The following is a 21649-nucleotide window of genomic DNA, read 5'->3' as shown; positions in this document are numbered from 1 at the left end:
TTTTCCTATCTGCAGAGTCCATCTGAACCTGAGGGAGAGGCCAGTGTCTCGGCTGGGAAGGAGAGCAGTGTTGAGACCACAGTGGGCCTCTTTTTTTTGTTGTTGTTTTTTAAAGACAAGGTCTCATTCTGTTGCCTAGGTTGGAATGCAGTGGTGCAATCTCGGCTCCCTACATCCTTCGCCTCCTGGGTTCAAGGGATTCTCGTGCCTCAGCCTCCTGATGCACCACCACACCCAGCAATTTTGTATTTTCAGTAGAGAAATGAAGCTGTCAGTAACTTACCCAGGGCCAACTTAGTTGGGAAGAAATTTAAACAACAGCAATCTGCTCTAAGGCCCACGTGCATTTGCTCCTTGCCACACAGTACCCCACAGCTATAGAACGTGGGGACCAAAGCCTCCTGGACACAGACCAGGCTGCTTGAAGGAAGGGCCCCACCCTCCTCAGACCCCCAGGCGTGCTCAGCTACACTAACTGGGCCCAATCCTTGATTCTGCCCAACAAGGCCAGCCCCGTGGGCCCTGATCACTCTACTGAACTCCAGAAGCTTAGTAATGAATTCTATCTCCAGAAGCCGGTATCACCTCAGCTCTAAAATAGGAATACTGGTGCTCTAACTGGCCAGCGTTCCCCACTCTAAAATCCTGCAGTAATGAGGAACAGAATACAGATGTGGAGAGCAGCCAAGGCCAGAGGTTTGGCCCCCAAAGGAACCCCATCCAAGCCTCGCTCAGCTGAGGTTTCCTGACAGGAGGGGAAGCTGCCAGCTGAGCTGAGGCCCACATAGGACCGGGCAGGGCACTACTCTCTCCTGAAGGCGTGGGTGGGAAGGCAGCACTTCCCCAACTCCAGGACACGGGAACAGACTGTCAGGCTGAAATACGAGAGTCCAAAGCCACACGGTTTATTGAGGGGTGGGGCCAAGTGGGCTCTGGTGGCCAGAATGGGCTATGTGTCACAGTCCTCGGGGACAGCAGCTGTGATGATGAGGGAGGGCTCCAGGACACCTGGGCCGGTGAAGCTCTCCTCTGCACACAGTCTCTGGCCGGGGAGCTGGGAGGCCAGGCCGCCCTGGGCCAGGGACTCCACAATGACCTCCGCCGAGCCCACCTCCAGCTCTGCAGGCGGCTGCAGCGCCACCACCACCATCTTCTCGTCCTCGATGATCAGGTTGCGGAGCTTGCGCTGCCGCGGGTTGTAGTTCTCTACCCGGTCGTGGATCTCCATGTGCCTCCGCAGGTGGGCCTGGCGGGGAGGGTGAGCTCAGAACTTTGGGGGATCCTAGGGTAGGGGAAGGGGCCCAGGCCCTGGCCTACCTGTCGGGTAAACTTGTAGCCACACTCGGTGCACTCAAACTTCCTCACCCCCTTGTGCCGTCTGACGTGCACACGCAGTTGCTCCACGGCTGCAAGAGGGAGAACACCGTGGGGGATCATGCAGGAGCCCCGGGACCCTCGAGGAAACCCAGCAGGAGGTTGGGACAGGCAGCAAGGGAGGGGACCAGTGGTTTACAAGTGCTGCACAGGCCCTGCCAGGCTCTCCAGTGCCACCCAGGGTCACTACTGCACAGGACACCCCTGCCTTCAAAGCAGGTCCACTCTCAACTCTAACCATGTGGGGCACAAAAGAGGTTCACAGGCAAGAAAGGAGCGTTTCCTCCTCAGAGACCCTCCAACTCGGATGAGCAGGAAATGGCTCTCCCAGGGCCGCCCAGGTACCTTTGAAGGTCTTGCCGCATATCTGGCAGAAGTGGGGCCGGCCCTCCTGATGGCGGCTGGCCACGTGCCTCAGGAGGGGCCCCTTCTCAGTGAAGCGCTGTTCACAGAACTCGCAACTGAAGGGCCTTTCCCCGGTGTGGGTGCGGTTGTGCTTGTCCAGGCTGGCTGCAGGCACAAGGCAAGAGCTCAGCCTGTGGCCTTGGCCTCAGGATGGGGAGGCGAGGGGAGGGGCAGGGCGTACCTCACCTTGGGTTCGGAAGGTCTTGCCACAGAGGTGGCACTGGAAGGGCTTCTCACCCGTGTGTGTGCGCAGGTGCATGTTGAGATTGGCCTTTTGGGTGAAGGCGTGGCTGCAGAACTCACATACGTGTGGCCTCTCATTCCTGTTAAGGTGGGGACATGGGGCAGAGGCCATCACCAAGGGAAGTGACCCCCTTGCTCTGCTACAGCTAGGAGCATGCCTGGTGGAAAGAGGGCTTGGGCAGTGCTAGGAAAGGGGCACCACCTCCACCCCGAGAGCAGAAGGACAATCTATGAGCAGGAGTCACAGGAAACTAAGGAAGCTCAGAATCTGCCCCGGGGGCACAGAGGCTTGTCTGAGCCTGAAACATCTGCCCCCAGCCTCTCTGCCTGGCATAGCTGCTTGCCCCTCAGGTCCCACTATCCCAGAGAGGCTGTAGGCACTAGATTCAGGGTGGAGGCCAAGGGCACACTCATCTGTGTAAAAGTCAGCAAACTCTGTCTTCCCTGCCGGTGCAAGCCTGGGCTGGCAGCAGGACTGGGCCCCAAGAGAGAACGGGCGACACGCACCTGTGCTTGGCCTTGATGTGCATCTGCAGGCCATTCCGGCTCGAGGCCCGGTGCCCACACTCCTCACACACAAACAGCTTCTCACCACGGTGCTTGAAAGCTTCATGCAGCTGCAGCTCTGTCCGAGACAGGAAGCACTTGGCACAGGTGGGGCACTGCAGGCAGACCAGGCAGGCAGAGGGAGGGACCAGGGCCAGGGTGAGAGCAGGGAAGGGCTGCCTGGGAGACCCACAAGCACCCCCCCGAACAACAGAAAGTACATGGCCGGCTGCCCACTCTGGGCACAGCTCACTCTTGCTCATGCCAGCATCAAAGCATGCCCAGCCCTCCCTGTCACTTACTGCATGGGGCTTGGGGGCTCCATGAAGTTTGATCATGTGGCTCTGCAAGTCCTTCTTCTGCATGAACTGCTGGGAGCAGGAGGAACACTGAAAAAGAGGCCCACAGTCACCTCCAGGGCGGCCTGCACCCATGAAACCCTGCCACCCACCCTTGGGCTATAGGGCAGGAACTAGAGGGAGGCCCCGGTGAGATGATTCTGGGAGGACCCCTGATCTGGTGTGAAGGATGGTGCAAAGGAGGGCCCTCAGGGCTCAGCTGCCCAGAGGATGCCAAGCCTGTCCTCCATGGAAAGAAACAAGGGCCTAATAAGGACCTTGGAGGTGAGGCTGCAGACAGTAGCCCTGCCTAGATAAGGGGGCACTGGAAAGGCAGGGAAGGCAGGGAAGGCAGGCTCCCTGACAGCTACTGTGAGGGAGGTGCCTGACAGCACCCCACGTAAAGGGCTCAGCAGGAAGGATCCTGGGGCCACCCAACCCTGGCCCTGGAGACAGGCCAAGCCTGACCTTGTAGGGCATCTCCCCTGTGTGAGACACCATGTGCACCCGCAGCTCCATCCTTCGGCGGAATGTCTCCTGGCACACAGAGCACGTGAAGACCTGGCAGTGTGAGGGGCAAGCAGGGCCGGCATCAGCGGGGGCCTCTGCCTATGACAGCAGCCTCTGCCCGGGCTTCCGCTTGCTGCTGGGAAGAGTCTGCCTGGGGAGGGTGGGGACGCTAGGGTGGGAGAGGGCAACACATAACCTGCCTGGCCTGACCATCACTGAGTGCTGCAAGCCCACCGCACACCAGGCCCTTCTCAGGCCCAGACAGACTGGGGGCAGGGTCCGAGTGGCCTCACCCACAGTCCCTGGCCCTAGTGGCTGCTGACAGGCCTCTAGGAAGAGTGGGCCTGGGTTTCGGCGGGCCCTGACACAGAAGCCAGCAGTGGGGTTGCTGGGGGTGGCCAGGGGGCCTTTCCCAGCTGCCATCCCCTGTAGCGGCTCCCCTTCTCCAAAGCCAAGGTGGAGGTGGGCCAGGGGCCTAGGAAAGCCAACCCCAAATGCCTCCCACAGAGTCCCTCCTATGCCTGTCCCTTCCGCCCTCAGGACCTGTGTCCCCACCTGTACCAGGGCATGGACCTCATGACATCCAAGGACCCCACAGCTTTCCTGAGTTTACAGTACCCCTCTCAGACAGTCTCCTGGGGCCCTTCCCGGATGGCACGAAGACAGAGAGGCCAGTGTGCCCTGCCCACAAGTACCTGGGCCAGCTCCCAAGTACCTGTTCCGAGCGGTTCATGCAATTCCGGGCTTCATGCTCCAGGAGGTTCTCCTTCCGAAAGTAACACTTCCCACATTTGGGACACTCAAAGGGTTTCTCCCCAGTATGTTTCCTGCCAGGAGAAGCCACAGGGGTGGGGGGGCTGAGAGGGTTTCCCATCTCTCCCTCACCCAGGGCCCCCTCTGGGTCCCTTCTAAGGGGAACAAGTGTTCTCAGGTGACACCGGCTGGTTAAGGTGCAGGGACAAGCCCAGAAGCCTCCCCCAGCATGGAGACTCTGCAAGGGAGAGTGCAGTGGCAAGAAGCTCACACAGGTCCTAAGAGGCTGCCATGGATCTGGCCAGCACAGAGGCCGACAGGGAGGCCCAGCTGACCGCATTCTGTCTGAAGGCAGAAACAGATCTTGGGTCCTGACTATTGGAGAAGCAACTCAGTCTTCCCAGAGCTTCAAACCCATGGCCAGATCCTCACCTGACTCCACTGGCCCACCAAGGCTGGCAACAGCTTCTCCCAGGTAGCCAGGGGAGCTGCCCATCTGGTCTCCCCGCTCCGTGACTGCCTCCCCCACAGGTTTCAGTTCAGGAGCCAGAAGGACCTTTAAGTCAGACCTCAGTACCTCTTGGCTCACGTATCCCCAGTGCTTCCCCATTCAGAGAAAGGGCCCGGGAGGCCTATCAAGGCGCAGGCAGCCCTCCCCTTGCCTGCTTCTCTCCCAGGGTGTCGTCTGGCCACCTGGATCAGGCATGTGCCTCCTTGCTGCCTGTCACGCCCCCAGGATCCTCCTACCCCAGCGCCCTGGCTCTTCTCTCTGCCCAGATGCTCCCCAGTCACCCACTTGGTCAACTTCCTCACCTCCTTTGAGTCTTTGCTTAAATCTCACCTTCTCAGTAAGACTCTAGAGACCCTGGCTACTTAAAATCGCAATCGAACCCCACTCACAACTCCCCAACCCCTTGGCCCGCCTCTGCTTTTTCTTCTTCGGCAGCACTTCCTCACCGTCTACTGCAGGCAGATGGACTTATCTGTTATCTGCATTGCCTGGCAAGCAGGTCGGCTGCACAAGCACCTTTGTTTAGTTCCCTTAAATGCATCCCAAGCACCCACAAAGCCTTGCTGGCCACCTGGTAGACTGCTTAATCAATGAACTAAACGAACTCGACCTCAGAGCCCCTGTGCAGCCTGCGACAGCTCCTCCCACCTTCCAGAGGCCAAGCAGCTCTCTCATCCTCTTCCTCTACAGCAACTATCTTCATCCCCCATCAAAATGACTTCATGAAGCCATCCCCTCCCAGTTCTCAGGGCCAGTCCAGCAAGCTGAAGCCCAAGGAAGGGATGGAAACTGCCCCAGAGTCTTACCCCAGCAGAGTACTTGAAAGCAAGCATCCAGCAGTACACAGGCTGCCCCAGGACCCCCGACACTGGGGTTATCCCAGCATTCCACTGGCAGCAGCTGCCCTGAACACGGTGCACAGGGACAGCGAACGGGTTTCCCCCTGGCTCCCATTCTAGGTGATTACTAGTGTGCCGCCCAACCTGGCATGGCAAGAAAACACACCATGATAGACTAGTGATGTCTTGGCTGGGAGTGGCAGGACTGGAAGGCATGCCACTGGGCCGCCATCCCCACAGGCCTTGCAGGGACTCCAAAGCAGTGCCGCCCAAGGGGATTCTCCACGATGATGGAAATGTGCTATGTCAGCACTGCCCGATTCAGCCACCAGGAGACACGTGGTTCCTCACCACTTCAGATTTGGCTAACGTATCTGAGGAACTGAATTTTTATTTAATTTTAAATTTTAAGTTAAAATAGTCCCTGGGGGCTGGGCACGGTGGCTCTCGCCTGTAATCCCAGCACTTTGGGAAGCTAAGGCAGGTGGATCGCAAGGTCAGGAGTTTGAGATCAGCCTGGCCAATATGGTGAAACCCATCACTACTAAAAAGTAAAAAAATGGCTGGGCACGGTGGCTCACGCCTGTAATCCCAGCACTTTGGGAGGCTGAGGCAGGTGGATCACAAGGTCAGGAGTTCGAAACCAGCCTGACCAACATGCTGAAACCCTGTCTCTACTAAACACACACAAAAAAATTAGCCAGGTGTGGTGGCGCGTGCCTGTAATCCCAGCTACTCAGGAGGCTGAGGCAGGAGAATCGCTTGAACCTGGGAGGCAGAGGTTGTAGTGAGCTTAGACGGAGCCACCACACTCCAGCCTGGGCGACAGAGGGGAGACTCCATCTCAAAAAAAAAAAAAAAAAAAAGTAAAACAATTAGCTGGGCGTAGTGGTGCGCACCTGTAGTCCCAGCTACTGAGGAGGCTGAGGCAGGAGAATCGCTTAAACCTGGGAGACAGAAGTTGCAGTGAGCCAAGATCATGCCACTGCACTCCAACCTGGGCGACACAGTGAGACTGTCTCAAAAAAAAAAAAAAAAATAACAGGCTGGGCGCAGTGGCTCATGCCTGTAGTCCCAGCACTTTGGGAGGCCGAGGCAGGTGGATCACAAGGTCAGGAGTTCAAGACCAGCCTGGCCAAGATAGTGAAGCCCCATCTCTACTAAAAATACAAATATTAGCCAGGCGTGGTGGCAGGCACCTGTAATCCCAGCTACTCGGGAGGCTGAGACAGGAGAATCGCTTGAACCCAGGAGGCGGAGGTTGCAGTGAGCCGATCTCATGCCACTGCACTCCAGCCTGGCAACAGAGTGAGACTCCGTCTCAAAAAAATAAAATAAAATGAAAAACAACATAGGCTGAGCATGGTGGCTCACACCTGTAATCCCAGCACTTTGGGAGGCCAAGGCGGGTGGATCACAAGGTCAGGAGATTGAGACCATCATGGCCATCATGGTGAAACCCCGTCTCTACTAAAATACAAAAAATTAGCCGGGTGTGGTGGCATGTGCCTGTAATCCCAGCTATTTGGGAGGCTGAAGCAGAGGAATCACTTGAACCCAGGAGGCAGAGGTTGCACTGAGCTGAGATCACGCTACTGCACTCTAGCCTGGTGACAGAGCAAGACTCCAACTCAAAAACAAAAACAAACAAAAAACATAAAATAGCCCCTGGGGGCTGGGCATGGTGGCTCACACCTATAATTCCAGCACTTTGGGAGGCCAGGGTGGGTGGATCGATTGAGCCCAGGAGTTTGAGACCAGCCTGGGCAACAGAGCAAAACCTTGTCTCCATTAAATGTAAAAATAAAAATTGTAATAGCTCCTGGAGTTCCTGGTTACTTTATTGGACGCTGAAGGTTTAGACAAATAGACTTGAATGCCCCACTGACACCCCAGAGTGAACACTTCCCTGGAAACGCAGGTAGCACTGAACCAAGGCTTGGCACTGTGGCCCAAAGCCCACACTGCCAGGCTTCAAGCCCACACTGCCAGGCTTCAGAAACACCTAAGGTTGGGCCCCAGCTCTAGCACAGGGGCCACAGGTTTCTCATTCTGTTAGCAGAGACCAGCTGGAGGTCAAGGTCCACAGTGGGTGGAACCTGTTGACAAGATGTACACAAACCCATCTCCAACCAGAGTACTCACAGGACAGCAAGGAAGAAGAATCCAACCCAAAGCAGGCTCTCACTTCCTGATTATCAGAGGTGTACCAAGGCCAGACACTATGTGGGTCTGAGATGGATCCCCCAGCCCCTACCTCACCCAGAAGTGGGAAGTGCAGGACCCCTCCCCCAACGTGGGAATGGCAGACAGGAAAAGAAAATAGAAAAACAGAACGTTTACCTGTTGTGGACTTTTAGATAATATTTGCTGAGGAACTTTTTATGACATGTGGGGCATTCGACCGGCACCGCTGTACCTTTTCTGTTCTCAGCAGGCTCAGCTGCTAGGGAGCCCGCGCTCAGGGCTGGCTCAGCTGCACAGGGCTTTCGGATTACATTTGACTTCCTCCTGGTCAGCACAGCCTCAGGCTCAGACATGTAATCGCCATCCCCATCATCCTCCACTTGAACCACCACTTCCCACTAGAGCACAATAGGCAGCAGGAGGGGGTGGCGTCACCAAATGAATCAGCAGGAGTTGTAGGGACCCAGCTCCAGTTCCATCCCAAGCCCCAACCCTGACAAGTCCCTTCATCAGACAAGTTCCTTCAGGGGCCCAAGGCAGAGCATCTGAATCTTGGATTCAGAGGAAAGTGGCTGTGTTTGTGGGGAACTGGAAGCTCAGCTGGAAACACTGCCCTGGGGAAACACCTGTAACCCTGATGCTGCCCACTCCTCTCAGGAAGGTGGCAACCGTGAACAGCTGGGGCTTGCAGAAAGGTCAGCCTGAGGTCACCAGCTTCCTTTGGAGAAAGCCTGTTCCAAACCCACATTAACAGAGATTGTCTTAAGGTCCACATATTTTTTTTTTTTTTTTGAGACAGGATCTTGCTCTGTCGCCTAGGCTGGAGGGTAGTGGCACCATCTCAGCTCACTGCAACCTCCACTTCCTGGGCTCAAGTGATCCTCCCACCTCACCCTCCTGAGTAGCTAGGACTACAGGTGTGTGCCACCACACCCGGCTAATTTTTGTATAGTCTTTGTACAAATGAGGCCTCGCCATGTTGCCCAGGCTGGTCTCGAACTCCCAAGCTAAAGTGATCCACCCCCCTTGGCCTCCCAAAGTGCTAGGATTACAGGCGTGAGTGAGCCATCACACCCAGCCCAGGGTCCCTATTATACCAAAAAAGTGTCTATTCCCTCTATTTGTCTCCCCAGTCCCAACACCCTGGGCACAGTACCTCATTACTGCCGCCCTGCAGCTGGGCACCTTCAGCCTCTAAGGGCCTTGGGGGCACTTTGCAGTCCTCGGGTTTCTTGTCCTCAAGGGGACAAGGCTTCAAGGCCTGCTTCAGTTTCCCACAGAGGGAGGAGGGGCCCTCACTCTGAGCTGGGGAATGGAGCTGGGGCCTCTGAGGACTATGACTGCCTCTGGGCTCCTGATCCCTGGGGACTAGACCCAGAGTCCTCGAAACTTCCTCTTCTTCCAAGCCTGCCGGCTCCTTGACGTGGCTGTTCACATTCTGGGAGGCAGGGGGCCCCAGCCCACTCTGGCCACCTGCTGCCTGTCCCACTGAAGTTTTGGGCTTGAAGCTCTGGCACAGCTCTACGGCCTCTGGCACTCGCAACTCCCTGGCTGCCAGGAGCACCTGATCCCGGTTCCCTGAGGTGAGAGCGAGGTGACCAGTGTAGAAAAAGTCCAACAAGAGGCCAAAGATCTCAGCGAAGCCAGCAGGGAGGACGACACTGCCCCCTGAGCCATCCCCGTAGAGGCTCTGGAAAAAGTGACTGCAGCAGGCAAGGACACTCCAGTGTGCCTTAAACACCAGGCCCCCCACGTCCAGAGTGGCGTCGCAGTACTGGCCCTTCTCCCGCTGCTTGTTGAGCTCCTGCAGAACCCTCACACTGTGCTGGACGAAGGAGCCGTCCATGGTCTGGAGGGCAGGGAGGCAGAAGTGACACCCCGGCCAGCCTAAGCGAGGGTATGCAAGAGAAAGCTCCTGGAGTCAAGAGAGAGAAACGGGAAGTTGGCCTCTACTCAAATAATCATATTTATCAGCACGAGGGCTTGGGTCAGGGTGAGGGGTGCACGCGGAGGGCTGGAACACACTGACAGCCTCCCGGGGGCCGGGGGCCATATTGGATTGGCCAGGGGGGATGCTGGATGGGGGGCCAGGGTCGTGAAGAAGGGCCTGGTGAGAAAAATCCAAGTTTGGGGAAAGGAGACATGGGATGAGAGCGAACGGACTGGCCCGGCACAGTGAGAGGATCCCGGACGGCGGAGGGCGGCAGCCGGGGACAGGTGAGCGAAGCCCACGCCGCGCCCACAGGTCCCGAGCGGCCGAGCGGAAGGCAGCCACGGCGGCCCGCAGCCCCTCCCTCCCTCACCCCGCGCCCTCCTCACCCAGGCAGGTCCTCCCTGAGCTGGCCCCACTGGCCCCCTGCTCCGTCGCCTCCACAGCCCACGAACCTAGTGCCCGGCTATGCGTACCCCGCCGACAGTGCGGAGACTCCACCGTCTCCGCGCCGGACGTGACGTCAAAGCGTGCAGGCCAGGAGGTGCGCCTCGGAAGCGTAGAGCTTCTAGCTCCGGCCCCCGAGGGCGGGGCCCCGCAGAGAACGGCCAATGGGATGCGGGGACGACGCCTCGCCCTGTTCTTTTGGCGCTGGGCCCGCCTCCGGAGTTGCCTAGCAACGTCAATCTGGGCGGTCAGCCTTTTCCAGGCTCTGGGTTCAGACTTGAATCCGTTACACCTCACACTCTCCCACGACAGGAGACCAGATACGCATTTCACTTCTTTATTGGCAGCCCGGAGCCTGGTCTAGGCTCTCCCAGGCGCTTACACGTCCCAACCCCAGACCGCGATGCCCAAAGACCTCCCGGACACCCCCGGCCTGCTCGACCTTCGACCCTCAGGGCAGAGAAGGCTGCCAGCCGTGCCTGCTGACCCACTGGTCAGGTGGAGCCGCAGCGCCTCGTGTAGTCCTGAATGGAGGCCTGGAAGTGCTCTGTGCTGTTGAGGTCTGGGCGGCAGAGGATCACGTAGCACTTAGGCAGAAAATACCCACCGAAGCCGCTGCTCAGGCTGCTCAGCCCAGCCATCATGTTGGCCGCAGGCAGGTACTTGCCGTCGTAGACGCTGGCCGTGGTGAAGAAGGCGATCCAGGACACGAAGTTGAAGAGCAGGCTGAAGGTGACACATTTGGCCTCGTTGTAGTTCTCTGGCAAGTCCTTACCCAGGTAGCTGCAGGCAAAGGCACTGATGGAGAGGAGGCCATTGTAGAGGAAGGCCAGTATGAAGCCCAGGGAGTTGGTCTCTGTGCACTCAAGCATCACCAGATGGGGGAAGCGCTGGTATTCCCTAGCAGGCAGTGGGGTCCACACCACCAGCCAAGTTAGACAGATAAGCAGCTGGGCCGCTGAGCTGATCATCACAAACAGGCCAGCACCGTGGTTTTGGACCCAGGCGTGGTAGAATGTAGGTACCTTGGTGGAAAACTTGAAGATGATGATTAGTTGGAATGAGCGAACTGTCAGGCAGGACAGGAAGATGGTGAAACCAAGGGCAAAGAGGGCCTGGCGTAGCAAGCACGCAGGCCTTGTGGGTTCCCCAAAGAAGCCATAGAGGCTGCCACTACCTGCTGCCAGGGAGCCCAGCATAAGAAAGCACAGGCGGCCCCCTGCTGACCTCACCACAGGGGTGTCTAGGTGCCAGGCAAACAGGCCAGCAGTCCCAAGCAGCAGCAGCAGCAGCAGCGTGTTAGCTGCCAGCAGCACCCAAGAGGTGTGCTCACGCAAAGCCAAAAACACCACAGTGCGCGGGAAGCAGGTCTGGCTTCCCTCAGGTGCCCACTCTTCTTTCCCACAAGGCTGGCATCTGTAGAGGTCTGAAAGGGAAGGCCAAGAAGGTTCCTGAGAGCCAGATGAGCAGAGTAGGAATAGGAAATAGGGGCCTGCAAGATACTGGGAGAATTGTACCAGGGCAGCTAGACTATACTAGGCATAGTGGGATGGGGGTAGCCGGGAGTGGGGCCTGAGGCCACGCATTTCCTCAAAATGCCTGTGTTAATTACAGACTCTGGAGACACACAGGTCGGTTCTGTATGGCTCATGATCCCATGAGGGTTTTGCAAACCCTAGGGAGGACCTTAACCTGGTAGCTCTGCCCACATACCAGAGAGGTTACGATCTGATGGGAGCAGCCTGCTCCCAAGGGAGGGCATTGTAACCCCTCTCTCTTGCCAGCATTTCCATGAACCACTTTCCTGAGCTGCTGCTCTGTGGTTTCTCTGAGTCCTGACCCTCTGAGGACAGAAGGGAAGTATTCCTGTCCCTACAGAGATGGTGAAAGGAAAGAATGTGGCCCCTGGACACCAACTAAGGACCTGAGTCCTTAGCTACCTAATTTGCTCTCTGTTCTTGACCTTGCATTTCTGGATGGGGAATGCTGTTTTTTTCTCTGCTGCAGACACGCTAGTATCTGTATTCAGGCCAAGCTGTTCAAGGAGCTAGCTGTCTTTGGCATGGGCAACAGAAGGGACAGTAGGACAAGAGGGCACAAAGGGAACAATAGCTATATTCATTTAGAGAAAGAGGTTGAATTCAGGATACGACTGCTTTTGTAGGAGTTGTGATGACAGCTCTCTAACAGAGGACACACCTCAGTCTAAGGCTTTCAGTTGGCTAATTCTTTCTTTCTTTCTTTTTTTTTGAGACAGAGTTTTTCTCTTGTCGCCCAGGCTGGAGTGCAATGGTGCAATCTTGGCTCACTGCAACCTCCGCCTCCCGGGTTCAAGCAATTCTCCTGCCTCAGCCTCCCGAGTAGCTGGAATTACAGGCACACGCCACAACGCCCGGCTAACTTTTTTTGTATTTTTAGTAGAGATGGGGTTTCACCATGTTGGTCAGGCTGGTCTCGAACTCCTGACCTCAGGTGATCCACCCACCTCGGCCTCCCAAAGTGCTGGGATTACAGGTGTGAGCCACCGCGCCCGGCCTCCTTTCTTTTTTTGGGGGGACGAATTCTCGCTTTGTGGTCCAGGCTGGAATGCATCTTGGCTCACTGCAACCTCCGCCTCCTGGGTTCAAGTGATTCTCCTGCCTCAGCCTCCCGAGTAGCTGGGATTACAGGCACGCGCCACCACACCCAGCTAATTTTTTATATTTTTGGTAGAGATGGGGTTTCACCATGTTGGCCAGGCTGGTCTCGAACTCCCGACCTCAAGTGATCCACCCGCCTCAGCCTCCCAAAGTGCTGGGATTACAGGCATGAGCCACCGCACCCAGTGGCTGATTCTCTTGATCAGAATTCTGTCTGGTAGCAGGTGTCCTCCAACCTGAAGCTAACTGGCAGCCCAGTGACTGGGCCTTGGTTCTGGGGCAGGGCACATGGGGCCCAAGGGAGGCCCTCCCTCCACCGTGCAGCCCCCGGGAGTGCTGGGTAGCTCGCCTGCTCCATTGCCCACTCACCACTCTTGTTGAGGAAGGTCCCAGCCCCACAGGGCACACACTCAAAGCAGCAGTGATGGAAACCCGTAACCACTCGCTGGTGCCCTTCAAGACAGTCGCTGGAACACACAGACTTAGGCACCTGTAAGAAGCCAGAGGGGCCACACGTAGGGGCCCAAGTCAAAGGACAGCTCACATGTGGAACAGAAAACAGAATCTCTGTGCATCTGCCCTCAGGGCTCACTCCCAGGGCAGGGCCCCTGGTCGTGTGAACTTCCGCCCCAGGGCATCTGCACACTCGCCTACGGAGTGTCTTCCCTGCTTCCCTGGCCAGGATGGGTAGAGTGGTGGCAGCTGGACCCCTGGGGCCCCCCTCCTGCTCCCTGTACACTGTGTCAGCATCACCCCCAGGCTCTAGGTTGCCCATAAGCCAGTTACATGGTGAGTAGCCACATCCCCATTACCTGGTTGTCCTTTCCGTGCCACTGGATTTTGGTCTCATTTATGTTTAGCTGAACTGGAGACCATGTGGAGGAACCGAGGACCGTGAAGGTCCACTTGGGTCCATTCCAGTCCCAGGCAATTATGTTATAGCTACTGAGGGGATCTCTGTTGTCATTAAACGCCACAGTGTCCTTGTGTAGAAGGAAATGCACCTTGTGGATCTGCTCCAAAAGCTGAAAGAAACGCGTATCATGAAGCCACCACAGACAGCACAGACCCACATGGTCCCAGAAGCAAGGGCCTGGGGCCTTCCTGGGTTTCCGTCCTGGTGGTTTCAGCCCATCAGGAAGGTCTCGTCCCTTCCTTCTTAGGAAGCCCCTCAATCTTCCCCACCAACCTCCTGAGAGGAGGCCTCTAACAAACACTCCTTTACAGACAGTTTTAGCCCTGGATCTTATCACTTGACACTTCCAAGACACAGTGGGTGAGAGAAGGCAAGGATCAGAGAGAAAGATCTGTCTAAGAGAAGAGAGCTAATGCCTGTAATCCCAGCACTTTGGGAGGCCGAAGCAGGAGGATCACTTGATGCCAGGAGTTCGAGACCAGCCTGGCCAACATGGTGAAACCCCATCTCTACTAAAAATACAAAAATTAGGCCGGGTGCGGTGGCTCACGCCTGTAATCCCAGCACTTTGGGAGGACGAGGTGGGCGGATGACAAGGTCAGGAGATTGAGACCATCCTGGCTAACATGGTGAAACCCCGTCTCTACTCAAAATACAAAAAAAATTAGCTGGGCGTGGTGGCGGGCGCCCGTAGTCCCACCTACTTGGGAGGCTGAGGCAGGGGAATGGAGTGAACCTGGGAGGCGGAGCTCACAGTGAGCCAAGATCGCACCACTGCATTCCAGCCTGGGCAACAGAGCGAGACTCTATCTCAAAAAAAAAAAAAAGAAAAGAAAAATTATCCAGGCATGGTGGTGGGTGCCTGTAATCCCAGCTACTCAGGAGGCCGAGGCAAGAGAATCACTTGAACCCAGGAGGTGGAAGTTGCAGAGAGCCGAGATCGCATCACTACACTGCAGCCTGGGTGACAGAGCCAGACTGTCTCAAAAAACAAAACAAAACAAAACAAAAAACCTCAAGTTAGTGGCATTTATCCCCCTTGGCATTTAGAGTGACCGGAGAGTGCCCACTCTGCTCATCTCAGGATTGGCTGTTCTCCCTGACAGGAGGTGCTGGGGTGGGCTCTCTTACCTGCCAGGGGTAGACTCGGCCCCTGGAACAAGCTCCAGAGGCACAGCCCAGGAGCTGGTGGAGGCCATGGGCCACCGCATACACAGCCCGGTATGCGTTGTAGGCAGAACTCATGGAGAAGGCTTTGAGCTTGGGCATCGTGTGTGCCATGAAAGCTTGGCATTCTCTGCAGAGCTGATTGCTGCTGCACCAGGAGCCCTTGTGGCAAGGCCTAGGGGCCTTCTTGTCTGCCCGGGCATAGGCTTCTTCAAACGCCTTCAGGCCAGGGACAGCCCTCTTCTGGATGGCCACGCCCAGCACCATCCCAATGCGCTGGATCCCGGGCACCCCAGTGATGTGCCTGGAGAGGGCCCAGGCTTCTGAGGCGACCCACACCTTGCCAGTCAGGTTGGTCAGCACCACGGACTCGAAAAACACCCTGGCCAACTGCCGGCTGGAAAAAACAACCACGACGGTGGCCCCGGCCTGGGCCAGGTGGCGCATGAGGCACTGCATCCTCTCATCGCCCACCTGGGCAGAGAAGGGCATGATGTCCTTGAAAGCAATGCAGATCCCCTGACCAGTGGCCTGGTTCTCCAGTGCCTGCACCCCTAGCTGCCCATAGTCGTCACTGCTGCCAACCAGAGAGATCCAGGTCCACCCGAACTTCTGCAGCAGCAGCACCATGGTCTCCACCTGGTACTTGTCATTGGGGATGGTGCGCAGGAAAGAGGGATACTGCCGCTTCACGCTGAGCGTCTCGCTGCTGGCCGCATAGCTAATCTATGGGAGGTCCCGTTCAGCCATTTCAGTCTCCACTGAAGGCCCCCCCAGTGCCTGGCCCTGTGCTGGGTGTGGGGATACAGGGAGCCGGGGAGACCAGGAGAGCACCCCTCAGCCTGTGAAACTGACAAATCACCTGCGAAGGCTCCACTGGGGCAGGTTCTGGGGGAGGGGTGGGAATCTGCCTGGGGACAAGGGGTGAGGGGATGCATTCCAAGCAAAGGAGACAAAACCTGCATAGGAGTGAAATAGTCCCGTGTGTTTGGGGACCTTCAGGGACTTCCACTGGAGGCAGTTTGCAAGGAAGAAGAGAAGCATGTGTAGGTCAGGGCAGAAGTTAGGTCAGTGGCCTGTTAGGAACCGGGCCTCACAGGAGGAGGTGAGCAGCTGGTGAGTAAGCGAAGCTTCATCTGTATTTACAGCTGCTCCCCTCCTGTCAGATCAGCAGCAGCATCAGATTCTTGTAGGAGCTTGAACCCTACTGTGAACTGCACATGCGAGGGATCTGGGTTGCACGCTACTTATGAGAATCTAATGTCTGATGATCTGTCACTGTCTCCCATCACCCCCAGATGGGACCATCTAGTTGTAGGAAAACAAGCTCAGGGCTCCCACTGATTCTACATTATGGTGAGTTGTATAATTATTTTATTATATTAATACATTATGGCCGGGTGCAGTGGCTCACACCTGTAATCCCAGCACATTGGGAGGCCGAGGTGGGTGGATCACGAGGTTAGGAGTTTGCGACCAGCCTGGCTAACACGGTGAAACCCCGTCTCTACTAAAAATACAAAAAAATTAGCCGGGCATGGTGGCGCGCGCCTGTAGTCCCAGCTACACGGGAGGCTGAGGCAGGAGAATGGCGTGAACCCGGGAGGCGGAGCTTGCAGTGAGTCGAGATCGCGCCACTGCACTCCAGCCTGGGCGACAGAGCGAAACTCCGTCTCAAAAAATAAAAATAAAAATAAAAATAAATAAATAAATAAATGTAATGCACTTGAATCATCCTGAAACCAACCCCTCACACACCCGTCCTTAGAAAAATTGTCTTCCACGAAACCAGTCCCTGATGCCGAAAAGGTTGGGGGCCACTGCTGTAAGCCACAGGGAGTCCCTAAGGATGTCCGCAGAGAAGTGCTATGTTCGGACTTGCATTTTTTCTTTTCTTTCTGAGACAGAGTCTTGCTCTGTCGCCCAGGATGGAGTGCGGTGGCGTGATCTTGGCTCACTGCAACCCCTGCCTCCTGGGTTCAAGAAATTCTCCTGCCTCAGCCTCCTGAGTAGCTGGGATTACAGGTGCCTGCCACCACGCCTGGCTAATTTTTGCATTTTTAGCAGAGACAGGGTTTCACCACGTTGGCCAGGCTGGTTTCCAACTCCTGACCTCATGAGCTGCCCACCTTAGCCTCCCAAAGTGCTGGGATTACAGGCGTGAGCCCCCGCGCCCGGTGCCCGGCCGGGACTTGCATTTCATGAGCGTATCTCTGACTTCAGTGAGGAATGAGTTAGAAGAAATTTAAGACTAAAATCAGGGGGAAGCCTTAGGACACTGATGGGAGAATCTAGCTGAGGGGTGATGCTGGTGTGAATTCCAGCTGTGGCTGTGGCAGTGGAAAAGGAGGCCAGAAAGGATGAAAGGTGGGGAGCAGGGCAAGGAGGAGCAGCAGTGGGCAGGACTCCAGGGTGATGGCCACTCCCTCACTACCCTCCACCAGAGGATTGGGGCTAATACAGGAAGAAAAGAGGCTTTTGTTGTGTAGGGAGGTAAGGTCAATCTGGGCCTTGCTGGGTCCATGATGTGGCAATGTTGGGCCAGCATCAGGGGCTCAGATCAGAGGGGAGGGGACTGAGAATGGGAGGTTAAACCACGAGCCCACAGCCTGCCTGGGAACTGGAAAAGGGGAGGAGAGGAGGGCGAAGCCTGCTCCGGGGAATCACCTACCTTTTCAGAGGAAGTGGGGCAAAAGGAGAGAAGAGCTGCAAGTGAAAGCCAGGTGGGGGCAGGGGGCTGAGGGGGGCATAAATTCCAAGGAAAGACTCTCATAGGAGGACTGGTCAAAAATGTCACAAAGGGCACGGTGCCTCATGCCTGTAATCTCACCACTTTGGGAGGCCAAGGCAGGTGGATTGCTTGAGCCCAGGAGTTCAAGGCCAGTCTAGGCAACATAGTGAGACCTCTATCTCTACAAAAAATACAAAAATTAGCCAGGCATGGTGGCACATGCCTGTGGACCCAGCTACTTAGGAGTATGAGGTGGGAGGATTGCTTGAGCCTGGGAGACAGTGAGACAACATTGCACCACTGCACTCCAGCCTGAGTGTCAGAGTGAGACTGTGTCTCAAAAAAAAAAAAAAAAAAAAATCACAAGTCACCTAAGATAAAGAAGGACTGCAAAGTAGGATTTGGATACCTAGAAGGTGCCCCAGCTCACAGCGAAAGCAAGAGTGGTGGGGACAGAATCGGGCTGAGGGTCAATGAGGGCAGGGAGAGGCCAGCAGGAAACTCCCATGGGAAGGGGCAGGGAGTCAGTGCTCAGGGTAGAGGGCCTGGAAGAGGGAGAGGAATGAGGGCAACCACAGGCCAGGCAGGAACCCATGGGGAAGGATCCATAAGCCAAGGAGGGGCTGTGGTCCAAGGTACAGGGCAAGAATAAGCACAGAGACAGGACTGACATCAGCAAGGTGAGGCATGTCAGCACCTCTGAGCCAGGAGGGAAGAAGGAAAGGCAGGCAGGAGAGACTGGGATGATGTGGAGCAGTCTATGGGGTGGGAAGCAAAGGGTGTCCTTTTTTGGGGGGAGGATGGAGGGGACAAGGTATCACTCTGTCACCCAGGCTGGAATGCAGTGGTGCAATCTCAGCTCACTGCAACCTCCACCTCCCAGATTCCAGCAATTCTCCTGTCTCAGCCTCCCAAGTAGCTGGGATTACAGGCACACACCACCACTCTCAGCTAACTTTTGTATTTTTAGTAGAGATGGGGTTTCGCCATACTGGCCAGGCTGGTCTCGAACTCCTGGCCTCAAGAGATCTGCCCAGCCTCCCCAAGGGATTACAGGCATGAGCCACAGCGCCCGTCCAGGATGTCCATTCCTAACAAAGGCAACGGAACCTCTGGAGGGAGGAGGGAAGTGGAGGGCAGCAGGGGTACAGCTGAGTGGCAGTAGTTCCCAAGGAGAATGGGTTTTCCCATGAGAGTGGAGGCAGGGATCTGGAAGCAGCTCTGGAAAGAGAGGAAGGCTGGGGCAGGAACCACGCTGGGCAGGGACCCCTGACTTGTGACTAAAGAGCAGTGACCACCCAAGAGATCCAGGGGGCAGGCAGCCTTGGGGGGGACAGCAGCTCTTGCCCACATGCCCCAGCCCAGACTTGCCTGAAGGGAGATGGGCAAAGGTCTGAGGCTCCAGCTTACCATGGGCACCAGGAAAGGGCTCAGCAGGGCGGCTGTGGTGGCAGCACGGTTGGTGCTGTCAGGCCCAATCACTGCCAGCACCGTAGGGGAATAGTGGAGAAGGTCTCCTTGGAGCTCTATGTGGTGTTGCCCTGGCAGGGAGAGCACTCTCAGCGTGGCATACACATTGGCAGAGTCAGAACACACATCATACAGCTGGTACCCCAGGGTGATGTTGGGCAGCAGGGCCGTGGAGTTGTTTATCTCCTCAACCCCAAGCCGCATAGCCTGGAAGAGGTGGTAGCCATGCTCATTGAAGCTACAAGACCTGTGGAGAAAGCCAGTAAGAGACAGCTGAGAAGGACAAAGGCCTGCTGAGACCCTCTGGCCTCCTAGACTCTGAGGCTTGGGAGCAAAGGGAACCTTTGAGGTCATCGGTCCAGTCCCCCAAACCACAACTTCAACAAGGGCTCTCAAGCTCAGTAGGAGGAACAAGCTGGCCCTGATGGAGAAACTTATTAGCATCGAAAAGGTCCTGAAGTCCTGGAGCAGAGAAACCTGCTACATTAGTCAGTGTTTTCCAGAGAGAGAGAGAAAGTGAGAAATTTAGTTTAAGGAATTGGTTCACATTGTGAGGGCTGGCAAGTTCAAATTTTACAGGACAGGCCAGCAGGCTGGACATTCTATAAAGAATTGATGTTACTATGCTCTTCAGTCCTAAGGCGGTCTGGAGGCAGAATTCCCTCAATTCCCTCCTTGTGCAGAAACTTCAGGCTTTTTTTTTTTTTTTTTGAGATGTGTTAGGGACCCAACCCAGCAAAGGCCCTCCGCCAAGGCAGATGTTCCCCTCGCTTTGTTTTTCTCCATCCCCTCCTTTTCTCACCACCTGCAGGCCCTCTGCCAAGGCAGATGTTCCCCAGCTGTTGTTTTTTCCCCTAACATCTGCCCATCAACCAGGATGTGGCTCTACCCAGAAACAGCCCCCACTCCCTAAAATATACTTACACCCCCTAGTCTGTAAGCCTGGGCTGCTGCCTCCTCTGATTGCTGTGGAGCAGCCCAGCAGGTTAATAAACTTGCTTGCCTGACTTTGGGTCTACTCGTTCTTTCTCTTGGCTAACCTTACATTTTGGTGCTGAAACCCAGGAATGGGTAGGCTCTGGCCGGGCATCCCCAGAGGACTCACTCTCTCTCTCTCTCTCTCTCTCTCTCCCCCTCCCTCCCTCCCTCTCTCCTCCCTGGCTGTGTGCTAGAGCCTTTCCCCCTCTCATCCCACCTCTCTCCTGGCCACCCTCCCCTTCCAGAACCTGCCAAAGACCCAGAGGATTTCTCAGACTCTCCCATTATTGGCAACCTCATTCATCATTAGAGCTTCTGCGAGGGTGAGTAAAAGAGACTCCTGCCATTTACCCAGAATCCTTGACCGTCTCTGAATTCCCGAAAGACCCAGCGCTGGGCCAAGGGCTTCCTCTGGCCTCCAGGCCTCCGGTTCCTCCATTTCAGGGACGCCTGTCTCAGTGGCTACCTCCTCTATTCCAGACAGGGCTTGCGGGACACAGGACGCCCTCTCCCACCATCCTTGTTGACCGGCAGTCTCTCCTTCCACTGCCTGCCCCACTCCATTCACCATAGGAGCTTCTCATTCTACGCTTCCTAAGACCACCCCCCTTGGGTGTCTTCTATGCAACCTCAATGCCCTCGGCCTCCATTCAGAGGTCTGTCCTAAGAAGCTGCTTTTCTACTGTAATACTGTCTGGCCTCAATACAGGTTAGACAATAGCTCCCAATGGCCCGAAAATGGCACTTTCGATTTCAATGTCCTTAAAGACTTAGACAACTTTTGCCACTGCAATGGGAAGTGGTCCGAGATTCCTTATGTTCAGGCTTTCTTCACTCTCCATAGCCACCCTTCTCTCTGCCAGTCCTGTTCTACTTTCCAAATCCTCCTTGCCCGCTCCAAACCCAACTCACCCTCTGTCACTCTTCCTACAGCCCCAGTCGATGACTCCTCTTCTTTTAACCTCGCCAATTTTCCCCATCCTCGCCACCATCATGGTCCTCCATTAAACCACCCCAATCCCCCACCTTACGTCCCCGTTCCTGTTCTGCCCCCTTCTCCCCCTCTCTCCAACCACCCTGCCTCTGACTCCGAATTTTCACCGTCTCTACCCCTTACCCATTCTCGGGCCCAACATGCCCCTCAACCAGCCTCCTCACTTCCGCTCCGGGAGGTGGCAAGAGCTGAGGAGATCGTCCGTGTCCACGTCCCTTTCTCCCTCTCCAACCTCTACCAAATTGAAAAACATCTCGGGTCCTTCTCATCTGATCCCGATACTTATATCAAAGAATTTAAATATCTTACCCAATCTTATGAACTCACTTGGCATGATCTCTACATTATCCTCTCTTCCACCCTCCTTCCAGAAGAGAAGGAAAGAGTGTGGCTTGCAGCACAGGCACATGCCGCCAATCTTCATCAGCAAGATCCTACTAAGCCCGTAGGAGCTGCTGCTGTTCCCCAGTAAGAGCCTTCCTGGGAGTACCAACCCACAGACCCCAGCCGGGCATCCCATAACCACATGATTACCTGCCTCATTGCAGGCCTTAACAAAGCTGCCCATAAGCCTGTAAATTTTGAAAAACTTAAAGAAACTTCCCAAAAGGCAGACGAAAATCCTGCCCAATTCCTTTCCCGCCTTACAGAGTCTCTCCAAAAATATACCT

General features: G+C 55.9%; 2 protein-coding genes and 1 long non-coding RNA gene across 21 annotated transcripts in view, besides 3 other annotated features; 1 reads left to right on the top strand and 2 right to left on the bottom strand.

The window, feature by feature from the left end:
• Nucleotides 1-881: 881 nt before the first annotated feature.
• On the bottom strand, nt 882-10168 carry ZBTB48 (zinc finger and BTB domain containing 48). Of its 15 annotated transcripts, none has more exons than NM_005341.4 (11): nt 10026-10168; nt 8863-9621; nt 7863-8104; nt 4132-4243; nt 3375-3467; nt 2871-2957; nt 2530-2684; nt 1966-2102; nt 1720-1884; nt 1318-1406; nt 882-1246 (listed from the first exon to the last, which is right to left on the bottom strand). In NM_005341.4, exons 2-11 carry the CDS (start codon nt 9550-9552, stop codon nt 950-952), a joined length of 2067 nt encoding a protein of 688 aa, NP_005332.1. In that variant the 5' UTR covers nt 9553-9621; nt 10026-10168; the 3' UTR covers nt 882-949. The 15 variants fall into 15 exon arrangements, with proteins under 15 accessions (NP_005332.1, NP_001265577.1, NP_001265576.1 ...); NM_001278648.2 differs by having other exon boundaries at nt 10092-10168; NM_001278647.2 differs by having other exon boundaries at nt 10113-10168.
• Nucleotides 7575-7624: an enhancer, noted in NCBI's record as "active region_83". NCBI's record gives its function as "activates an Ori minimal core promoter by ATAC-STARR-seq in GM12878 lymphoblastoid cells {active_cell/tissue: GM12878}" and the evidence as "EXISTENCE:reporter gene assay evidence [ECO:0000049][PMID:35858748]".
• Nucleotides 9904-10033: a silencer, noted in NCBI's record as "silent region_163". NCBI's record gives its function as "represses an Ori minimal core promoter by ATAC-STARR-seq in GM12878 lymphoblastoid cells {active_cell/tissue: GM12878}" and the evidence as "EXISTENCE:reporter gene assay evidence [ECO:0000049][PMID:35858748]".
• Nucleotides 10085-10784: an enhancer, noted in NCBI's record as "H3K27ac-H3K4me1 hESC enhancer chr1:6639438-6640137 (GRCh37/hg19 assembly coordinates)". NCBI's record gives its function as "activates a minimal SCP1, AML or CMV promoter by ChIP-STARR-seq in naive and primed H9 embryonic stem cells {active_cell/tissue: H9 hESC(naive and primed)}" and the evidence as "EXISTENCE:reporter gene assay evidence [ECO:0000049][PMID:30033119]".
• The window catches only part of TAS1R1 (taste 1 receptor member 1), a 24449-nt gene continuing 13206 nt past the window's right edge, over nt 10407-21649 (bottom strand). Inside the window, exons 1-6 of one of the 4 annotated variants that reach the window (XM_011542203.2) lie at nt 20336-20988; nt 18947-19253; nt 14770-15531; nt 13535-13747; nt 13092-13212; nt 10407-11509 (exon numbers count right to left, since the gene is read on the bottom strand). In XM_011542203.2, the coding sequence (XP_011540505.1) occupies nt 10578-11509; nt 13092-13212; nt 13535-13747; nt 14770-15531; nt 18947-19210 (2292 nt within the window). In that variant the 5' untranslated portion in view covers nt 19211-19253; nt 20336-20988 and the 3' untranslated portion in view covers nt 10407-10577. Of the gene's footprint in view, nt 11510-13091; nt 13213-13534; nt 13748-14769; nt 15532-18946; nt 19254-20335; nt 20989-21649 lie in introns of those variants that run through there. The other 3 variants (NM_138697.4, XM_011542206.3, NM_177540.3) reach the window with 3 other exon arrangements.
• Nucleotides 10729-21649, top strand: part of LOC107984912 (uncharacterized) — an 11886-nt gene continuing 965 nt past the window's right edge. For both annotated transcript variants that reach the window (XR_002958250.1, XR_001737881.1), the window contains exons 1-2: nt 10729-10815; nt 20179-20307. This is a non-coding gene — a long non-coding RNA (uncharacterized LOC107984912). The remainder of the gene's footprint in view (nt 10816-20178; nt 20308-21649) is intronic.

This window comes from Homo sapiens, chromosome 1, assembly GCF_000001405.40.
Source record: "Homo sapiens chromosome 1, GRCh38.p14 Primary Assembly".
NCBI lineage: Eukaryota > Metazoa > Chordata > Mammalia > Primates > Hominidae > Homo > Homo sapiens.
Note: the sequence above shows the minus strand (reverse complement) of the source record. Positions and strands in the feature narration are given on the sequence as shown.